Below are 23,172 nucleotides of genomic sequence, written 5' to 3' on the forward strand. Positions count from 1 at the left end.
TAAAGTGTTATGGTTTATTATTTATTTATTTAAAATTTGTCAGAGAACTTTATTAAATTTAACTCCTTTCTTTGGAGCAAAATGTGTAAAATGAATAATATTATTTGCACACACTTATTGTCAGCAGAGACTGAAGAAAACTATCATTCCAGATTGCAGTACGGCACTACAAGCCCATGGCCTAATTCACTGGGACAATGCTAAAGCCCCTGGTGAATTTATATCCATTTCACACTCTAAAATATCTTGGAGCAAAACTTTCCAATGAATCCAAGTATTAACAAGGTCTGCAGAAAATCTCAGAAAGTTTTCATTTTGTTTTGATTTTTTTTTTCCCTCAGTTAGTTTAGTTTATTCACCTTGGAATAGGAATACACTTAAAATTATTTTGCTGATATGTCACTACCCTTTCAACTTAATTCCAAGCAATGCCTCTAATAAGTGTTTTAGTAAATTAGATTAAGTTGAGAAGGATTACAGATTCTGTAAGAACACTATGTATGACATTGTTGACTCACTCACATATCCAGAGAAAATTACTGTTTATATAAGTGAACCTTAAATTTAGGATTAAAATCGTATTTTAAACTTATTTTATATAACTGATTCATTTCAATGCACAATCCCATTATCTTTGAAAGCTAAACAGGCAGTTTAAACCACATTATTGTTTTTAAATTAAAGTGTTGCTCAATTAAAAACTAAAGTGGAAATAAACAATTTCCCATACTAGAAATTATTCCTCCAGGCTGGGTGCTGTGGCCCATGCCTATAATCCCAGCACTCTGGGAGGCCGAGGCAGGCGGATCACCTGAGGTTGGGAGTTCAAGACCAGCCTGACCAACATGGAGAAACCCTGTCTCTACTAAAAATACAAAATTAGCCGGGCGTGGTGGTGCATGCCTGTAATCCCAGCTACTCAGGAGGCTGAGGAAAGAGAATCGCTTGCACCCGGGAGATGGAGGTTGCCGTGAGCCGAGATCACACCACTGCAATCCAGCCTGGGCAGCAAGAGTGAAACTCCGTCTCAAGAAAAAAAAAAAAAAAAAGAAACGAAAAAAAAAGTTATTCCTCCAAATATTTCTATGGAGAAAAATAAAGTGGGTAAGGGTGACATTTTTTCTTAAAGAAAAATAAAGAATGGTCAAGGAGCTGGGAAATTATAAGAAAGAGGAGCTACTGTTTTTTTGTATTAAAATATGAACATTCATATTCTCCAAAAATATTTACATGATCTCTCTCTTCTTATAGAAGAAAAATGGAGAAGGATAGAACCAGGTGCAAGAAAGAGTTCTCTTCAAAAAGCCATGGGAGAATCCCATTCACAACCAAAGAATTCGTGGCCATATTATTTTTTATTTCAGCCTGTTCTTTGAAAATGAAAAGGCGGAATGTAGTGGAAAGCATAAGCAAAAAGCTAAAACACTTTGTGGAATTTCTTTGTAACTTCCTTCGTGTGTAAAAACTTAAGACTTTACCATGAGGACATAATCCAGGCATCTGATTGTAGGCTTCTCGTTACTTGGGGAGTTAAGGGATTAATTTTCATACTTAAGCTCATATGATGACAAAACTTTTTCACAACTGTCTCTAAACCAAGAAGGGGGATTTAAGATCTCTCAACAAATGACCATTTCATTACATTGTTCCTTATTCCACTTAGGGTGGTTCACCATCATCTCTGAGTCAACACATCTGTGATCAGACTAAATGAGTCTTGCCTTCTGTTTTAGCCTTTGAAATCCATGGAGCAGAATGGACCAGGCCTAGAGTACAGAGTGACCTGGAAGCCACAGGGAGCCCCAGTGGAGTGGGAAGAAGAAACAGTCACAAACCACACATTGCGGGTGATGACGCCTGCTGTCTATGCCCCTTATGATGTCAAGGTCCAGGCTATCAATCAACTAGGATCTGGGCCTGACCCTCAGTCAGTGACTCTCTATTCTGGAGAAGACTGTAAGTGATGCACCTAAAACTGCTAAGCACGTCAGTAACTGTTGCTTTCAAATATATTGTACTTCAATCAACAAATATTTGTGAACAACTACTGCATGCAAAGAGGATGTACTAGCCGTGGGAGATAAAAACAAATATAACACATGACTTCTATCTTAGGATTGATTGTAGGACAGTTGATCGTATAGAGTACCAAGGAAGTATGTTGAAAGTTTTCATTTTATTCAGTTTCCTATAAAGCTCTTTCTACATTGAAAATTGAAGACCTGGAATTATCACTGCAATCATTTAAAGCAGCATAACTGTCATAAGATTTTCAAGTACATCTGCCCTTTGCCCTTACTTGTCAAGGATCCCCTAAGAGCCACTTGCTCTCATGCCCTGGGCTTCAGTGGCATGTCTGGAGCTTTCCTAATACTGATGAGATATATACCCAGATTTATATGTAGAATTATATGCACACACACCTTCTGATGCCATAGTAACTGCTGCAAATAGGTTATTGGAAGAAGAAAAAAACACTGCATTCTGTATTGCTAATACTGTGAATAATATTAGGGGTTATTCTCATTGCCTTTCCAGCATCTAAAGGAATAATTTGATCCAAAAATAGAAAAGGTTCAGAATGAGAAATAGCCAACTCATTACTCACCTGCCGTCTAAATTCTTCTACCCAAATAAAAGCACACAAAACACATATCACAAGTGAATTAAGATAGTATTAGCCTTGACTGCTCTGTATTTGGCTTATTACTCTGTAGTAAGAACTCCTGTAGAACAGAGATAATAATATCCTCTTCACAGGGTTGTATGAACCAATTTAGGTAAGTCCCTTAGAACAGTGCCTGACACATAGCATATGCTCAAATGTTAGCTGTTATTAATATTTGATTAACAAAATTCCTGACCAATTTTATTTATATTACTAGTTTAATTCACTTGCTTCCAAAGGCAAGATGCCCACAGAATAGTTTCTGGTTTTATTTATCCACATTGTATCTATCTGGAGGGCTTTGTTTCTCAGTGTGATACAGTCTGTCCTCTTCTTTGGGAAATCTATTTGGGCTGATAAACTTATCTATCATGAGAAACTCTTTTGGTTCCATTTGGAGTGAATTTCACAAAAGTGCTTTCTCCAGAAGAAACATTATGAAAATTTTTGAAAAGGATCCTAACAATCACATTTGCAGGTTATTGAAAACTAATCAATCTTCTATGATTAACAGATCCTGATACAGCTCCAGTGATCCATGGGGTGGACGTTATAAACAGTACATTAGTTAAAGTTACCTGGTCAACAGTTCCAAAGGACAGAGTACATGGACGTCTGAAAGGCTATCAGGTTTTTATCATCATGGTTTTTCCTCTTCTTGTTGAATTGGTATCTTTCCTGAGAATAAAGAAGAATTGATTTCAGAAGAAGTCAAAGAGAATCTGCGACCACAATGGATATACTAAAAGATTTTGGTTTTCATTGCAGATAAATTGGTGGAAAACAAAAAGTCTGTTGGATGGAAGAACACATCCCAAAGAAGTGAACATTCTAAGATTTTCAGGACAAAGAAACTCTGGAATGGTTCCTTCCTTAGATGCCTTTAGTGAATTTCATTTAACAGTCTTAGCCTATAACTCTAAAGGAGCTGGTCCTGAAAGTGAGCCTTATATATTTCAAACACCAGAAGGAGGTGAGAGGATAATGATGTAGAGTCATGTCAAAAATGGAGGTGATCCATGGCCATATTAAACATTCTTCCTTATGGCCAGGCACAGTGGCTCATGCCTGTAAATCCCAGCACTTTGGGAGGCCAAGGCAGATGGATCACTTGAAGTCAGGAGTTCCAAACCAGCTTGGCCAACATGATGAAATCCTGTCTCTATCAAAAATACAAAAATTAGCCAGATGTAGTAGTGCATGCCTGTAGTCCCAGCTACTCGGGAGGCTGAGGCAGGAGAATCACTTGAACCCGGGAGGCGGAGGTTGCAATGAGCCAAGATTGGGCTACTGCATTCCATCTAGCCTGGGCCACGTGAGACTCTGTCTCAAAAAAATAAATAAATAAACATTATTCCTTATTAGTAGTTAATTAATATTTACTTCAGATGAGTTTGCTTGTCAATTTCTATAAAATTTATAATATAATAAGGCTTTTTTGAATTTTTCTAATTGATGTGAGTTTATTTTTGGTCTTGTGTTTTCTAGTACCTGAACAGCCAACTTTTCTAAAGGTCATCAAAGTTGATAAAGACACTGCCACTTTATCTTGGGGACTACCTAAGAAATTAAATGGAAACTTAACTGGCTATCTTTTGCAATATCAGATAAGTAAGTAGAAATTTGAATTGGAGTTAACTTGTTAATGTTTCATTTTTTGGTTGAATATTCTCTGTGCTATGTTGGGAGTCTAATGATCACTTAAGGCCATGGTTTGTAAGCTGCCGTTCTTCCTTGTAGCCCAGGGGTCTGTAAACTGGCTTGCAGGCCAAATTCAGCCTGCTGCCTGTTTTTAGGAATAAAGTTTTATGACGACATGGCCATGTCCACTTATTTATATATGTCTACAGCTACTTTCTCCCTGGAGTGGCAAAGTTGAGTCATCTCAATGGAGACTACACAGCCTACAAAGGCTAAATGTTTACCGTCTGGCCCTTTAATGAAAGGTTTGCTTACCTGTTTTAGAAAAAAAGCAGTGTGCTGATGGGTACACAAAACACGTGTTTAATGTTTATATATAAGATGTTTGGAGAAGTAGGAAACATGTGAAAGAGTTATTGAGTGATGTGATGGAGATTCAAAGCATAGGTACCTTCCACGCTACCTCTTCTGCCTCAGATATATGCTCCCAGACTCAATCCTAAATATGCTTGTGTTTATCCAATGTCTATGGGTTGCTCACTGTTTCATGGAGATGATATTGCAAGGACTAAATAATTGTCTTTGGATCATGACTCAGAATGGGCTCTGCCCAGATGCTGCTGTGCGACTAGAGTAACGTGAATGTGTTTAGATGAGATCAGGTCGTTTTTAATAGCAGCGCGTTCCCTCTGAAACAGTCGTCAAGTTTAAGCATCATCTCAAAATGGAAATTCGGGGATTGACATTATAGAAAATTTTATCAACAACCCATCATGAAAATTTTAGGCTTTCAAGACATCAATTCCCAAAACACCAGAAATACAGAGACCCAGCACACACTGCTTACTAGTCAACTTGATCATAGTCCTGTTGTGCTACTTTCACATCAGCTCAAGACTTCCAGCAATCCAGGTCACGTATTTGCTTTAGTTTCTGATGGTTTCTGCTGAAATTAGCACGTATGTTTAAATACATACAGGCATAATCCCAACGGAAGTAGACTTTAGCACTTTTACGTGCTTGCTAAGTAGCAGGATCAATACTAAGTGTATCTCTTTGCATTGTGCCATTAAAATAAGAAATCTATTAGAAATGTACTATCACTATTTTATGAATGAGGGAATTGATGTACATCAGAGTCAAGTAGTAAAATAAGTGTTAAGTGGGAGGCCGAGGCTGGTGGATCACGAGGTCAGGAGATCGAGACCATCCTGGCTAACACGGTGAAACCCCGTCTCTATTAAAAATACAAAAAATTATCCAGGCGTGGTGGTGGGCCCCTGTAGTCCCAGCTACTCGGGCGGCTGAGGCAGGAGAATGGCGTGAACCCGGGAGGCAGAGCTTGCGGTGAGCTGAGATGGAGCCACTGCACTCCAGCCTGGGCGACAGAGCCAGACTCCGTCTCAAAAAAAAAAAAAAAGTGTTAAGAATGCAAAGCAAGATCAGTCCAATTCTAGATGTTGAGCTCTTAACCTTATATTAGTCGATGAACTGGTTTTCAAAAAAATTGTAAGAACTGCAGAAATATTTTAAGATTCTTTTAAATGTCAATTTGTTTGGTAAAGATATAACTTCTCCTTATCCTAACAATAGGAAACTCAACTAATTAAATTCCCACCTTCATATTGATCCGTATGTGACATTTACGTTTATTTAAAAACAAGTTCTTAGAATATAGAAGTTGAAATATTAACAATTGTAATGATTATTGAACTGCTTGATATGTGTATTTTAAAATAAAATAATATATAATTATTTTGCTTTCTATTAATATTAATTGATCAAGACATTTTAGGTAGTTTACCTTTTTCTTATTGCTTTTAGATATTTTAAATTGTTGCAATTTATATGTATGAGAGCTCTATGTATACTCTCCTGAATTCTTATATTGATTGTAGTCGTTTTTCAATTGACTTTGTGGTCATTCACAATTATGTGTTCAAAAAATCTAAAAAAGTGATGATTTCACCTCCTTCTTTCCAATGTTTGAATGCCTAGTTTGTTTGTTTTTTCTTTTCATTGATTTGAATTGCATTTTTATGGACCAAGGAAGGCATTTTTATGTCAATAATAAATGCATTTTTTTAACCTCTATGGTATCTTGGACTGGGAGTCAAGAGGATTTATTCTACATTCCTTCTTGCCACTAACAGCTGCACTATCTTGGGTGTATTTCATCTCTTGGACTATTGTTACAGTAATCTTATAATACTCCATACTCTTACACAAATCTCATGTCTTTGCTGGGTTCCAAATTCTTTGAAAGAAGCTGTCTATCTGATTCAGCTTTTTACAGTGAGCACTTTACATAGTACTTAGTACACAGTAGATATTCTTAAATATTTAATATATTCCTTCATTTATTGATTCTATGTATACTGAGTAGCTATTTGGTGCCACATGTTAAACTAGAAACCATAGAAGACACAAATAAATTATCATCTCAATTATTCTTCCAAAAGGAAATTATAATACTTAAGTCAAAGATACAATGAAAATATAGCAATGGGGAAAATTCATTATTATTAATGCGTATTATGAAGCTGGAGCAGCTGGCTCCAATATAGCACAGGGATTAAAGACGTTTCTCTGGGGTCAAAAGGCCATGGTTTGGATTCAAATCCCAGTCTGCAAATTTAGAGACCCAAGATGGGAGCAAAGGGCTTATTCTTGCGAGACCTCAGTTTTGTCATATATGATATAGTCATAGTAGTTGTATGTACCTCATAGGATTAAATGAGTTGATGGTTATGAATCATTAATGTATCTTTACGTACCACAAGCATAAGGAGAAATGAAAATAATGAAGAATGCAACTTGAATGGTTAAATACATTTGAGCTGTTGTTCATGTTTATTTTTTTAGTAAATGACACCTACGAGATTGGAGAATTAAATGATATTAACATTACAACTCCATCAAAGCCCAGCTGGCACCTCTCAAACCTGAATGCAACTACCAAGTACAAATTCTACTTGAGGGCTTGCACTTCACAGGGCTGTGGAAAACCGATCACGGAGGAAAGCTCCACCTTAGGAGAAGGGAGTAAGTACATGAGGCTTCTCTTTTTAATAGAGGCTTTAAAAAGAGACTGCATCTTTTTAAACAGCTGCACTGAAAGGAAAGCACCGTGCCAGTCATTGTAAATTAGAAATGATTGTGATCCCACTCTGTCTGACCTTCTGTTTTCCACTGACATAGAGGCAGAATTTATTAATCTGTTTGGAAAGTTCACACTGACTCAATTTATGGATTTCTGCGCAATACCAATCAAATTATAGCTTAGTGTATACAAGGTCAGGAACTATAATTTTACTTAATTAAAGTAGCAGGACATAAGGTCACAAAGCTATTCAAAAGGTTAGTAAAGGTACGTTTTTCTTTTAGAAATGTTTCCATACAGAAAAATATTTGGCTCTTCCATTGGTAGACATTACAGATCTAATACATCTCACTTTCATGCCTTCACTCTATATACATTGATTCATATGTCAATTTTGTTTTACTGTCTGATGATGGATGCCAAGCAACTGTCTGGGAAATGGCTTATAAATGTATGGTTTCACTTGTAACACAATTATCCTAATTCAATTACACTTTTCTGTTTTTTTCTACCTTTAACCATTTCCTTTCCCAAATTGCATCTCCAGTTATGATTTTAGTGAGGTTCTTGCTAAGCTTTCTATGATAGCAACAGGACCTTTGCAGAGAAATCAGGTCAGAGGAACTGATGTACACACGAAGTGAAACAGAGAGAGATTTATGTAGGGCTTAGGCTGTTCAGGCATGGAAGGATATTGGAGAAAGAAAAGAAGGATGTAGAAGATGGCAGAAAGGGAAATAGAGTTGTTTATTTATCATGTATTAAGTGTGGTGCAAAAGTAATTGTGGCCCTTCCATTAAAAGTAGTAATGGCAAAGGCCGCACTTACTTTTGCACCAATCTAATACTATGTGTCAGACTGTGTTCTGGATGCTTTTCCAAGTTGTAGATTAGAAAAACGGTAGAATCAATGAAAGAAACATCACAGAGGGGAAAAATAGTAGAGAAAATGCAGTTGCCTATTATTTATTGAAGATGTATATTAAAATATATTCAAGCTTGTGAGTGACTGTAAATCACCGTGTTTGTGTGTGAATGGTTATGCTCTGACCTTTAATATTGGTTTGTTTTTACATCTTATTGTGCCTACTATATCTAACTAATAACAAGCTTACGTTTTTCTCAGATTCCTTAAACATTTAAAAGCCCTTTATGTGGGAAAATTGTATAATCCAAATAATTACTTCCCTAAAACTCACAAAGTATTCCCAGGGATGAATTGAACACCAAGTGAAATGAAGAACTAATTTCACTGACTTTACCTACTCATAAAAGTTAGACTTAAAGATGGGGATTGGAAACTTCCCAGTAACTAAAAGGTTCTTATGTCTGAAGCATTGGAACTGACATCAAGTGTCCAATACAAAGAGAAGTCAGAGTGGTAGTAGTCCAAACATGCAACTGCCATATTTTTAAAAACAGAATTTAAGGCATGGAGTTGGTTGCTATTTTGATATAACCAAGACCATAATGTGCATGTGAAATGCTGATCCCATTCTTACCAATTGGAAGCACATGAGAAAAAATATTCACAGAATTGCCTGACAAGTGTTACACATTCTAGTATATATGTTGCGAAATTTGGGCTTGGTTGCATTCGTGCTTGAGAAATTGTTTTTGGAGGATGAAAGTGCTGTTCATGTGATTTTACAGGTGATGTGGCATCTTTTCTTTAAACTAAAAATGTAACTAATGTGCTGCATGTCTTAAAGAACATTTCTTCACTGTCGTATGTGTCAGGAATTTAAAAATGTTTCTTACTGGTGTGTTTGTGCTCTTTTTCAGGAATCCACATTTTCAGTATTCCAGCTAACTGCCCCCTTCCCGAGTTGACACTGATTTCTATTCTATAGGCATGTCTTGCTATAAGTACAGGGAAAAAAATTACAATCTCTTTTTCTACTAGAGTTCAACATGATCTTTGAAAAAAATATATATTTCCAATGAGGAGAGATACATCTTGTTATCAGTCAGCACTCTAAAAATGATCACTTGTGCAAATAGGAACCTACTGCTATGCATCTTTCTTCTTGCTCTGCCTATATAGCTCATTTCAAGGTCATTTGGCATTTGTTCAAAAAATAGGATTTGATTGACAAGTATTTTTCTCTGATTGTTTTCACTCTGATTTCCAAGTAAATCATATTCCATAATCTAAGAGGGGAAAAGATGGAGTTAATCAGAAATATTATTTTTGTGTCATTAGCGGTTTGAATAAATCACTTGCTTTACTCTATTTTTCAAAAGCTTGCACTACTTAATGTTATACTAATATCTCTGTTTTTCAAGGTCAAAATTAATTGCACTCTGTTTCAATGACGCTTAATCTTGAAGGCTTTGCTCATATAATTGGCCTTATTTCTCTCATGGTGTCATTTTTAATAAAACCTTTTTGTTATTTAGTAACTATATAATTAATTTTTATTTTATAGTGAAAATACATAATGAAATATTGATCTGTAACATATACCCACTTAAAATAGCATTTCATAACCCCTTGTAGTCTCAGTAAGAAACATATTTTATATCATTGTTAACATTTTCTGGGTTATGTTTATTATATTGAGTTGATTCCCAGCAAAGCTGTGGATCACATGCAAAAATATTTAAGATATTTGGTGGTAAGACAAGAAGTTAACATATTTTTGTTCAACTTGATTCATTTTATCTTCTACTATGAGATTCTACTATTAACATATTGACATATTAATATTTTTTGAAAAGTATTAACTTCTCACACCACTTTCAAAATGTCAGTAAAACCATTCCATTGGTATGTACCTGCAAGCCTGCATTTCACGTAGTTTGGACTTCTATAAATTTCAAATATTTAATATATGACCATATTTTAATGCTATTTCATCAGTGTTTATGGAGAAGACCAAAGCAAAAAAAAGCAATATATAGTTAGTTACGATTATAAGGTTATGTGCTGTCAATTATAAGTCAAAAGGCCATATTCAGTTTCGCATTAGGTTTGCGAAAATCCAAATTGCACAAAATTATATTGTATAATTTTTTTAAGTCTGTGGTTTTGAACCATTCATGTGACCAGGCAGATTTACAGTACCATTTCATCTTAAATGGCCATGCATTGAGTTCATTTCATTTACTCAATTTCATTATATTAAAAAAGAAAGTTGAAATGTTGATTTTCTTGATCTCCTGGTAATTCAAAAACTATCTGAGAAAATATGGTATAAGTGACTTTCTTATTCACCTCTAACAACAATATTTTTTTATGTCCTGTTTTTCCATGATTACAATTCACATGATTTAACTGTGTACATTTCTTAGGTAAAGGTATCGGGAAGATATCAGGAGTAAATCTTACTCAAAAGACTCACCCAATAGAGGTATTTGAGCCGGGAGCTGAACATATAGTTCGCCTAATGACTAAGAATTGGGGCGATAATGATAGCATTTTTCAAGATGTAATTGAGACAAGAGGGAGAGGTGAGAAATGAGATTATATTTGGGGAAGTCTTAGTCAATCTATGTCCTGTAGAATACTTAGTGTTGCCTGTGTCCTATATTAAACATAAAAACACTGAGTGTATTAATTATGAAAATCGTAATTTCAATTTGTTTTGACATATTTTTAAATTATCAAAATGAAAAATGTTTCACAGTAGTCCACCATCCTTTATTTTGTTTTTACTAGAGTTGTTGCCTAAAAATATCTCCTGCTAATTAACATATCTTAATAACACAAACTAAAAAGAAAAAGCAAAACAAAACAAAAACCACCGGTCTCCATGGTCATCTGCTTCTAACCAAGGCAGCTTGCGCTTTTGTTTGCTCCTTGCTGCTTCTGAGTTTAACTTCATCTGCCTTCATTATCCTTCTTTGGTTTTTCATCCTCGGAATCAAACACAACTCGAAGAAGTCCCTTTTTAAATAAAGAAGGAAAGATTTACCAGTATTCTCCCATTAACATGTCCTTCAAATTGCATTCCTTCTGGGGTCATTAAAAAAACTGATACTATTTGGTATGTTTAAAAATGATGTCTAATTTTCCCCAATGTTACAGAATACAAAAGACTGTTTCTAGTTTACAATGCTGTGACTTCTCTTTCTACCACAGAATATGCTGGTTTATATGATGACATCTCCACTCAAGGCTGGTTTATTGGACTGATGTGTGCGATTGCTCTTCTCACACTACTATTATTAACTGTTTGCTTTGTGAAGAGGAATAGAGGTGGAAAGTACTCAGGTAAAATTGTTTCTTAATGTGATTTTCAACTTATTAAAAAGCATTTTCTGGGAAGCATTCTTCAGAGACAACTTTTTTTAAAAATACACATTCAAGTCAAATTTATATTAGCAAGTTAGATGTACAATGCACTGACAGGAAAAACGTATTGCTAAATTAACCAAAGAAAATATGTATGTTCTAGTTTCTAGCACTTAAAATGGGCTCTAACTGCCGGGCGCAGTGGCTCACGCCTGTAATTCCAGCAGTTTGGGAGGCCGAGGTGGGCGGATCATGAGGTCAGGAGATCGAGACCATCCTGGCCAACATGATGAAACCCCGTCTCTACTAAAAATACAAAAATTAGCCGGGCATGGTGGCAGCTGCCTGTAATCCCAGCTACTCGGAAGGCTGAGACAGGAGAATCACTTGAACCCGGGAGGTGGAGTTTGCAGTGAGCTGAGATCATGCCACTGTACTTCAGCTTGGGCGACAAGAGCAAAAACTCCATCTCAAAAAAATAAAAAATAAAAAATAGGCTCTAACAAGGTTGATAACACTTCCAAGCTTCTATTGTCTATCTGTAAAATATCAGCGTCGTTGAGAGACATATCACTAGGTCACATATATGCTTTAGTGTTTTAAGAAGTGACCCATGTATAGCACGCCTCTCTCTATGCATGACATACATGACTCATATTTTTCGCACTAGTGCATTCTAATATTACTGGCTCCACTGGTCAATTTTGTTGGTGTTAATCATTACTAGGAATGCATTTCTTATTACCATGGCATGTAGTAGACACACTGCCTCTTGAATTAATGATACATAAGATATACATGAAAACCATCATAGTTGGTAATATGACGTTTGCCTTTAATTTCATTCAACTCCCGAATTTGTTTTGTCTTTTTCAGATATACATATTGTATCAAGATGATGATTATTACTAGTATTGCTTAGTATTCATGATGCTTTTATAAAGGGACAAAGATTTAGGTTACACTGCTATTTGTTTCATGATGTTCAGATATATGAGAAGTTCATTACTGGCTTATGATTTATCTAGCAAATATTTATTGGGAACCCGTCATCTACATAGAAACATTGAGAGCATAATTTCTAGGTTTTTGTAAAATGACATGCATAATTTATGGAGTTATGCGTTTCACTTTTTTCTCTGAAGACTGAATGATTATGAATTAAGTTCACAATGACTAATAAATGTTCTGAGTAATTAATTGGAAACGTTAAAGAGTTATAGCATTCTCCTTATCCCCAACAGATAATCATTTGTGTATTGTGGTGCTATCCAGATTCCAAAGATGTTTCTTCAAATCATGCCCTAAAAAGAAAAAAAAAATTAGCATTTCATATTGTAGAGCAACTAAGAGAATCTACTAGGTCTCTGCATGTAGTCGTAAAATGTTCCAGGAAGAACAATTTGTATTTGAGGGCTTTTTTTTTTTTTTTAAGTAAAGGGAACAAGAGCTTTTTGGTCTTATATTCCACTAATAAGAGAAATCAGCCAGGCATAGTGGTGGCTGCCTGAAATCCTAACTACTCGGGAGGCTGAGGCAGGAGAATCCCTTGAACCTGGGAGGCAGAGGTTGCAGTGAGCCGAGATCACGCCTCTGCACTCCAGCCTGGGCGACAGAGTGAGACTGTCTCAAAAAAAGTAATAATAAAATAAAATGTCAGTGGAGACCTGAATATTCAGATTGTTGCAACAATTTTGAGTAAGAGTGATGTATAACAACCAAATGACTGCCTTTTTTTTTTTTTTTTTTTGAGACAAGGTCTTGTTCTGTTGCCCAGGCTGGAGTGCAGTGGTTCTATCTCATCTCTTTGCAACTTCTGCCTCCCAGGCTCAGGTGATCCTCCAACCTCAGCTCCTCGTGTAGCTGGGACTACAGGTGTATGCTACCATGCCTGGCTAATTTCTGTGTTTTTAATAGAGACAGGGTCTTGCTTTGTTGCCCAGGCTGGTTTCAAACTCCTGATATAAAGTGTTCTGCCCACCTTGGCCTCCCAAAGTGCCGGGATTACAGGCATGAGCCACCACATCCAGCCTTGATTGACTTTTTAAATTCAATTTAGTTTAATGACACAGATCTAATAGGTGTCTATGACATCTTCAAAAAGTTCAGATAGTAAAATAAATATTTAGTAATTTGGTCTTCACTGAGAAATCAAACTCAGTTGGGCTCTTCCAATAAGACTTCTCGTTCACATAAAATTGAGTAGTCACGTGAAAATATGCAACATGCTGCAGGTGTGACGACAAGTAGAACCCCCCAAAATCCCCTCTCTTTTTTGTTTAAACAAAGAAGCAACTGATGGGCTGTAGGTATAGCCAGAAAAAAATATTGCCTCACTGGTATCAAAACATTTGAGCAATGCTGTTCTTACTGACTATTAACTATTCCACAGCACTGGTAAAATGTCTTTTAAATGGTCACTGTATTACTTTTCCCACTTTTTTTCTCTTTTTTAGTTAAAGAAAAGGAAGATTTGCATCCAGACCCAGAAATTCAGTCAGTAAAAGATGAAACCTTTGGTGAATACAGGTAAACATAAGGTTCTGTTGTAAAATAAAACACATATTCATCATGTTGAAAGCTTAAGTGAACAAAAAGGTGTTTATTCTTAATAAAAAGGTTACATAACTACAATGTAATGACCCTATAAAGAATACTTTGTACAAATAGGGCCCACTTAAGTGCTAGCAACCAAATTTCTGTGTGTGTGATGAGGGTGTATAAATAATTACCGTCTAGGCAGAAATGTCAGGTAGGACACTTTTCTTGAAGCTCTGTGCCTAACACAAAGAATATCTATTTGGGGTAGCTAAAACATCTATAGCATGGCCATTATGAACTCGGGTTCAATCCAATTTGCATCCACACACGCATATCTGTATACCTACAGCGTTGCACCTGCAAAGGTAAGTAAGTTACAAACCCTGTCCTCTAGATGAACCTGATCAGCAGAGAAAAATATCCTATATATGCAAATGACTGTAATGAATTAAATAGAATAAAAGAGCACAAAAGAGAGTAACTGTTTCTGCCCAGGTAGGATTTTGGAAAAAGAATCATCCATAAGAGATAAGCTAAGCCTTAAAGGATAAAAAGTATTGTGTTACTGTTAACCACTGGACAGAGGATGACCAAATGAGTGAGGGTGTGTCGGGCAAGGGAGGAATGGCAAGAAGTCTACTCTGAGCTAGGTAGGAATCTTTCGGGGACGTGTTAAACTGTCTCATTCTCCTTTTATCTTTCTCCACCTTCCCCTTTCTGCTACTCTCTCAACTTCTTAGTTCTTTTTTGTTGTAATGTCATCATTTTTCTCAGGTCTCCTGTATATTTCAGCCAACAGACATATTGTAAGTTCCAGGTTTGTATTGATTTTAGCACATGGGAAACCAGAGTTTATATTAAAGAAGAAATCTGATTGATCCTGATTCTCTCATCTCTGGATTCATTACTCTAGCAAGGGATATGGAGTATTTTCATTAGCTAATTGGTAGACATTTGGGCTTACCTGTACCTCCATTTTGTGGTATACTTATTTTTCTGTATTCTACTTAGTCAATACCCTTTTTATATTTTTATATTTCTTAATAAATGACTTTAAATTCTTTCCAGAATAAAGAACAATAAAGAGAAAGAAAGAAAGAGAGAAAAAGAAAAAGGAAGAAAGAATTTTGGAACTTCACGAATTGTGATCATTACTATTGTATTAGTTAGCAGTTGCCTCATAACAATAACCACCAATACTCAACAGCTTAAAACAATAAACATTTATTATTTCAATGTCCTCATAATTCAGGAATCCAGACATGGCTTAGATGGGTACTTCTGGCTCAGGACCTCTCATGAGGTTGCAGCAAGGTTTTGACCAGGGCTATGGTTTCATCTAAAGTTTCAGCCAAAGCACAAATCATTCCTAGGCCATTCGTGTGGCTGTTGGCAGGATATAGTTCCATACAGGCTGTTGAACTAAGGGCTTCTGTTCTTCACAGGCCAGAGGTCATTCCTAACTCCATACCACGTAGATATCTCCATGGGGCCATTCACAACATGGCAGCTGGCTTCCTTCAGAATGTGTGAGCCAGGGAGCAAGAGAGAGCACCCAAGTTGGAAGCCACAGTCCTTTTGTAACCTAATATTGGAAGTGATATCCCATCACTTTTGTTGTATTCTATAGGAACAAATCATTAAGTTTAGCTCACAACTCAAAGGAAGAGGATTATACAAGATACAAATTCCATGAGGCAATGATCATTAAGGACCTGCAACAACTTTTCAAAAGCTGAGGCAGGAGAATTTCTTGAACTCAGGAGGCGGAGGTTGCAGTAAGCTGAGATTGTGCCACTGCACTCCAGCCTGGGCAACATAGCGAGACTCCATCTCAACAACAAAACAAAAACACAAACAAACAAACAAGCAAAAAAAAATTTTGAAAGACAATATTAGCTCAATTTTACAGGCAAGAAAACAAAAACAATGCCTTGTCTAAAAACCCATTTCCCCACACCCTGCTGCTCCTTTATAAAGATAGCTAACATCTTCCTGTGCATTATTTCCTATGACATCCCTTTATAGTAGCTGATGTGTTTTCCAACCTCTTTCCCCCAAACTACATATTTATCAGGATAATTGTCTACTTTCCACATTATCCCAGGAGACACTTTTATAAGATGCTGTGCCCTTGCATAAGTCCTCATTCTTCTAGCTTCTGATAATCATCCCTTTTGTTATTTTTCTTTATTCTTTGTTCCTGATTCCTCAGCCGATGCCTCATTGTTTTTCTTGATTTGTTCTTGTAACTGCAATATCCTAATTCAAGAGCCAATTATCGTATCAGTCAGGGGAGCCTGTGTTATGCTGCTGTCAAAACAACTCCAAAAGCATTTTCTTTCTCAAGTTATGTGTCCCACAGAGATTGCCCTTTTCATCTTAATCACTTAGGAGCACTGGCTGGTGGACGAGCATCCAGGCTCCCCACAGCAGGGAAAATAGAATGTAATAAACTGAGCACTGGCTTTAAATCTTTGGCTCGGAAGAGACACATGTCACCTTTGCTCACTTTTTTTTTAAACCAAAGAAAATTCCATGGTGGCATATAACACAGAGTAGGCAAAGAAGTGCCATCCTGCTTTATTCCTAGAAACCTGACATACTTGATGAACAGCTCTGACAAATACCACAAATTATAAAGTGATATGTACATCCAAATTATATTTTTTCCAAATGCTTCATTGATCAAATTTGATAAAATCATTTTATATGGTGTATAGCTTCATAATGTAATACTAATTGGTACTTAAAAAAATCTTGATCCAAAATTTAGAAGATCATACCATTTGATAAGCATTTCACTAATGGATTTGCTTCTGTTCATGAATAAAACACCTACCATAAATATAGTATACTTATTTATGTTCTTAAAATACCAGCCATTTCTTTCTGTCTTAAAATGTAACAAACTTGAATTGTTAACTATATTAAAGAAAGTTATTTGGTTTCAAAAACAGAATGTGATTGATTTTTAAAAAAGAACATTTTATCAGGATATAAGAGAATCAAAAGGATCAGAAGTAAAGGCAGAAGATCAAGACTTGGAGGCCAGGAGCTCCAAAAGTTCATGACAGCAAGGGAAATTGCATTTGTTCTCTGTCTGAGTCCATTAGGGCTACTATAACAAAATACCATAAGCTGGGTGGCTTATAAAAGAACAGAAACTTAATTCCCACAGTTCAGGATTCTGAGAAGCCTAAGAGCAAAGTGCCAGCATTTTCAATGTCTGGTGAACGCTCACTTTCTGGGTGACAGATGGCACCTTCTCTTTGTGTCCTCACATCGTGAAAGGGGTAGGGCAGCTCTCTGGGGCCTCTTCTCTAAGGGCACTAATATCATTCACTAGGGTTCCACCCTTATGGCCTAATCACTTCCCAAAGACTCCACCTCTAACACCCTCACATTGGTTATCAGGTTTTAACATAGGAAGCTTGGGAGGACACAGATATTCAGACCATAGCAGCCACTGTGGACATCAACAGGTTGAATCCCACATGTCCTACAGAAGCTAAGCTGCTCAATTTTAAAGAGAAGCACAAATGTTGTGAATAATGAAAAATTGTTTGGTGGAAATTGCTTATGACTTTGTAGACATGTGTTTACAGACTTCGTAAACTTGGTAAACATTTGTGGTAGTATCATGTGGGCTTTACTATCTGTCTTCAATGCTAACACAAATGTCCTGAAAATTATAAAATCTTTTATCACTTATGACTGTGTTGCTTTACATGAATATTAATATTAGATTTTGTTGAGCTATTTTTGTTTGTTTGTTTTCTAGTGACAGTGATGAAAAGCCTCTCAAAGGAAGCCTTCGGTCCCTTAATAGGGATATGCAGCCTACTGAAAGTGCTGACAGCTTAGTCGAATACGGAGAGGGAGACCATGGTCTCTTCAGTGAAGATGGATCATTTATTGGTGCCTACGCTGGATCTAAGGAGAAGGGATCTGTTGAAAGCAATGGAAGTTCTACAGCAACTTTTCCCCTTCGGGCATAAACACAACATATGTAAGCAACGCTACTGGTTCACCCCAACCTTCCATATTTATCTGTTCAAAGGAGCAAGAACTTTCATATAGGAATAGAAACATGCTGGCCGAAGATTTCATCCAGAAGTCAACATCCTGCAATTATGTTGAAAAGAGTAGTACTTTCTTCAAAATATAAAATGCCAAGCACTTCAGGCCTATGTTTTGCTTATATTGTTTTCAGGTGCTCAAAATGCAAAACACAAAACAAATCCTGCATTTAGATACACCTCAACTAAATCCAAAGTCCCCATTCAGTATATTCCATATTTGCCTGATTTTACTATTCGGTGTGTTTGCATAGATGTTGCTACTTGGTGGGTTTTTCTCCGTATGCACATTGGTATACAGTCTCTGAGAACTGGCTTGGTGACTTTGCTTCACTACAGGTTAAAAGACCATAAGCAAACTGGTTATTTAAAATGTAAAAAGGAATATGAAAGTCTTATTAAAACACTTCATTGAAAATATACAGTCTAAATTTATTATTTAAATTTTACTAGCAAAAGTCTTAGGTGAACAATCAACTAGTATTTGTTGAGCTCCTATTTGCCCAGAGATGGTCATATTTAAACAGAAGTATACGTTTTTCAGTTTCAACATGAATTTTTTTATTTCTGTCAGTTATGACATCCACAAGCATCACTTTTTGTGTCTGTTTTTTTTTTTTTTCTTGGACTAAATTCAACTGCATGGAAGCGGTGGTCAGAAGGTTGTTTTATACGAGAACAGGCAGAAAGTGCCCATTGTTCAGGATTCTAATAGCTACATCTACTTAATATCTTCATTTCTAAATTGACTGCTTTTACCTTTTTCTCATGTTTATATAATGGTATGCTTGCATATATTTCATGAATACATTGTACATATTATGTTAATATTTACACAATTTAAAATATAGATGTGTTTTATTTTGAAGTGAGAAAATGAACATTAACAGGCATGTTTGTACAGCTAGAATATATTAGTAAGATACTGTTTTTCGTCATTCCAGAGCTACAACTAATAACACGAGGTTCCAAAGCTGAAGACTTTGTATAAAGTATTTGGGTTTTGTTCTTGTATTGCTTTCTTTCAACAGTTTCAAAATAAAATATCATATAAATATTGAGGGAAATGTTTTCATATTTTTCAAAATAGGTTTTTATTGTTGAATGTACATCTACCCCAGCCCCTCAAAAGAAAAACTGTTTACATAGAAATTCCTACACATACGTTTGCGTATATGTTATTTTAAACATCTTTGTGGTGAGAATTTTTTCCCCGATATTCTCCTTCTGTCAAAGTCAGAACAAATTCAGGGAATTTATTTTCTGGCAGTTGTGCTCCAGTCCTTTTAAAATTGTACATGAACATGTTTTAGAAACAATATGGAGGATGATGCATACATGTCGGTCAAGTTCAGCGCTCGACATTTTATGGAAAGATTTTTTTAACCTTACCACGAAATACTTAACTACTGTTTAAGTGAATTGACTTATTTCACTTTAGTTTTTGAACTGTGATTATTGGTATACTGTTATATCCTCAACTTGGATTTATGGTAACCCCTTATAGTTCATGGAGACCAAAATTTGGGGTATTTATAATAGTCAGCGCAGGAATGCACATGGAATATCTACTTGTCCTTTTGAACCTCACGAGTCATCCAGAATGTATAGACAGGAAAAGCATGTCTTATTTAAAACTGTAATTTATGGGCTCAGGATCTGACCGCAGTCCCGGGAGTAAGCATTTCAAAGGGGGAAGGCAGTGTGGTCCCTACCCTGTGTGAATGTGAGGATGTAGACATCCATCAGTGCAACTCGAGCTCCATCCTCCTCCGATTTCTAAGGTTCCAGTTTTCTGGAGGGACAGTCATCATGTTTTGATTTATCTGGGAGAAAACTGTGGTGCACAGCTTGTGAGGAGGGCAAGGTTGTGACGTTCGAGCTTAGTTCTGGTGTTATTCTGTCTCCTCTTCTTTGTCATCAGCCAAAACGTGGTTTTTAAAGAGAGTCATGCAGGTTAGAAATAATGTCAAAAATATTTAGGAATTTAATAACCTTTAAGTCAGAAACTAAAACAAATACTGAAATATTAGCTCTTCCTACACTTCGTGTTCCCCTTTAGCTGCCTGAAAATCAAGATTGCTCCTGCTCAGATCTTCTGAGTGGCTAAAACTTATGGATATGAAAAATGAGATTGAATGATGACTATGCTTTGCTATCATTGTTACCTTTCCTCAATACTATTTGGCAACTACTGGGACTCTTCAGCACAAAAGGAATAGATCTATGATTGACCCTGATTTTAATTGTGAAATTATATGATTCATATATTTTATGAATCAGAATAACCTTCAAATAAAATAAATCTAAGTCGGTTAAAATGGATTTCATGATTTTCCCTCAGAAAATGAGTAACAGAGTCCACGGCGTGCAATGGTAATTATAAATTGGTGATGCTTGTTTGCAAATTGCCCACTCGTGATAAGTCAACAGCCAATATTTAAAACTTTGTTCGTTACTGGCTTTACCCTAACTTTCTCTAGTCTACTGTCAATATCATTTTAATGTAATTGATTGTATATAGTCTCAAGAATGGTTGGTGGGCATGAGTTCCTAGAGAACTGTCCAAGGGTTGGGAAAATCCAAATTCTCTTCCTGGTTCCAGCACTGATTTTGTACATAAACATTAGGCAGGTTGCTTAACCTTTTTATTTCAAACTCTCTCAACTCTAAAGTGCTAATAATAATCTCAGTTACCTTATCTTTGTCACAGGGTGTTCTTTTTTATGAAGAAAAATTTGAAAATGATAAAAGCTAAGATGCCTTCTAACTTCATAAGCAAACCTTTAACTAATTATGTATCTGAAAGTCACCCCCACATACCAACTCAACTTTTTTCCTGTGAACACATAAATATATTTTTATAGAAAAACAAATCTACATAAAATAAATCTACTGTTTAGTGAGCAGTATGATTTGTACATGCCATTGAAAATTATTAATCAGAAGAAAATTAAGCAGGGTCTTTGCTATACAAAAGTGTTTTCCACTAATTTTGCATGCGTATTTATAAGAAAAATGTGAATTTGGTGGTTTTATTCTATCGGTATAAAGGCATTGATATTTTAGATGCACCCGTGTTTGTAAAAATGTAGAGCACAATGGAATTATGCTGGAAGTCTCAAATAATATTTTTTTCCTATTTTATACTCATGGAAGAGATAAGCTAAAGAGGGGACAATAATGAGAAATGTTGGTGTGCTTTTCTAAGCATTTAAAACATAATTGCCAATTGAAACCCTAAATATGTTTACATACCATTAAGATATGATTCATGTAACAATGTTAAATTAATTATAATGGGATTGGGTTTGTTATCTGTGGTAGTATATATCCTAGTGTTCCTATAGTGAAATAAGTAGGGTTCAGCCAAAGCTTTCTTTGTTTTGTACCTTAAATTGTTCGATTACGTCATCAAAAGAGATGAAAGGTATGTAGAACAGGTTCACGTGATTACCTTTTTCTTTTGGCTTGGATTAATATTCATAGTAGAACTTTATAAAACGTGTTTGTATTGTAGGTGGTGTTTGTATTATGCTTATGACTATGTATGGTTTGAAAATATTTTCATTATACATGAAATTCAACTTTCCAAATAAAAGTTCTACTTCATGTAATCCAAAAATGTTTGTATTCTGTTCTATATAGTTAAGAAGAATCAGAATTTACATATTAATCTTAACTACTTCAGTTGCCTCTGATCCTGGAATATCTATAAATGAAGTATAATTTAATAAAGTAAAAATAAGATAAATAAAATATTTTGATTTCAATTACTTTATAAATATACAATATCATCATCTATAAAAAAGAATATTACAATAAAATTTATATTTATAATAAATATAAATTTAAGGTGAATGTATATTTATCTGGTCATTTTTAATAAAAATGTAGAAATGTCACTTTTCAAGAAAATGTCCGATATGCTATATTTTCAATGAGGCTAGTAGATAATTTTGATATGGTCTTTTAGAATTGGGTTACCCACTTTGGCTCAGGGGACAATCTATTGAAAATTGTTATTTTTAAAAACGGTTTTATTGACCGGACATGGAGACTCACTGAAATCGCAGCTCTTTGAGAGGATGAGGTGGGTGGATCACTTAATGCCAGGAGTTCAAGTCCAGCCTGTGCAACATAGTGAGACCTCGTCTAAAAAATTTAAAAAAAAATTATCTATACCAAGCACTTTACACAGAATACCACATTTAATCCTCGAACGATATTCTCTGGTTTGTTAAATTAGGGGACCGGGAGGTTAACTAACTTAATGAGTGTCACCAGCATGGGCTAGAACTAGAAATTAAACCCTGGGATGTTTGACTCCAAAACCCTAATTCATTGTACCATTAATAGTACATTTTTTCATGCCCTCACTCCTCCACCTTTTCTTAGAAATACTAAAGAAAGGTGAGTTTCAACTTCATGCCGACTTATTGATCATGCTTACAAACACCTTGGCTTTAAGATATGCGATCAAGACATACGATAGGGGAAAACAATCAATGCTTTATTGTATAAACAGTTGAATGTGTACAACCTAAAAAGTAGTAATTCAAATAAGCCAGTTATTTTTAAATGAATGTCACACATTTCATTATATTCCACTCACTCTATTGGGAAACTGAAAAAGAACAAAAGCTTTTTATTAGAAGTGGCTTCAAAAACAACTGCGCTAAACATTTTAAAGTTGATATTTGTATTTGCTCATCAAACACCAGAGTCTATGGTAGGACATCTCTCCTCTTTTGCTATTCTCATTTGTTTCCCTGTAAAATACAACACAGAATTTTTAAGCCATATATCTCTGGACTCATGGCATCCCACTTATGGAGAACCCTTATCGCCAAGATAAATCAGACTTTAAGTCAGATAAACATATGTACGATAACCTC

General features: G+C 35.6%; 1 protein-coding gene across 18 annotated transcripts in view; it reads left to right on the forward strand.

Moving 5' to 3' along the window:
- The window catches only part of CHL1 (cell adhesion molecule L1 like), a 212,655-nt gene extending 190,756 nt beyond the window's left edge, over positions 1–21,899 (forward strand). For 13 of the 18 annotated variants that reach the window (XM_017005566.2, NM_006614.4, NM_001253387.2 and 10 more), the window contains 9 exons: positions 1,734–1,956; positions 3,183–3,298; positions 3,437–3,641; positions 4,157–4,279; positions 7,175–7,354; positions 10,709–10,867; positions 11,499–11,630; positions 14,108–14,180; positions 17,977–21,899. In XM_017005566.2, coding sequence (XP_016861055.1) covers positions 1,734–1,956; positions 3,183–3,298; positions 3,437–3,641; positions 4,157–4,279; positions 7,175–7,354; positions 10,709–10,867; positions 11,499–11,630; positions 14,108–14,180; positions 17,977–18,193 — 1,428 coding nt within the window. In that variant the 3' untranslated portion in view covers positions 18,194–21,899. The remainder of the gene's footprint in view (positions 1–1,733; positions 1,957–3,182; positions 3,299–3,436; positions 3,642–4,156; positions 4,280–7,174; positions 7,355–10,708; positions 10,868–11,498; positions 11,631–14,107; positions 14,181–17,976) is intronic. The other 5 variants (XM_017005572.2, XM_017005573.2, XM_011533296.2 and 2 more) reach the window with 1 other exon arrangement.
- Positions 21,900–23,172: the final 1,273 nt, after the last annotated feature.

This window comes from Homo sapiens, chromosome 3, assembly GCF_000001405.40.
Source record: "Homo sapiens chromosome 3, GRCh38.p14 Primary Assembly".
Taxonomy (NCBI): Eukaryota; Metazoa; Chordata; class Mammalia; order Primates; family Hominidae; genus Homo; species Homo sapiens.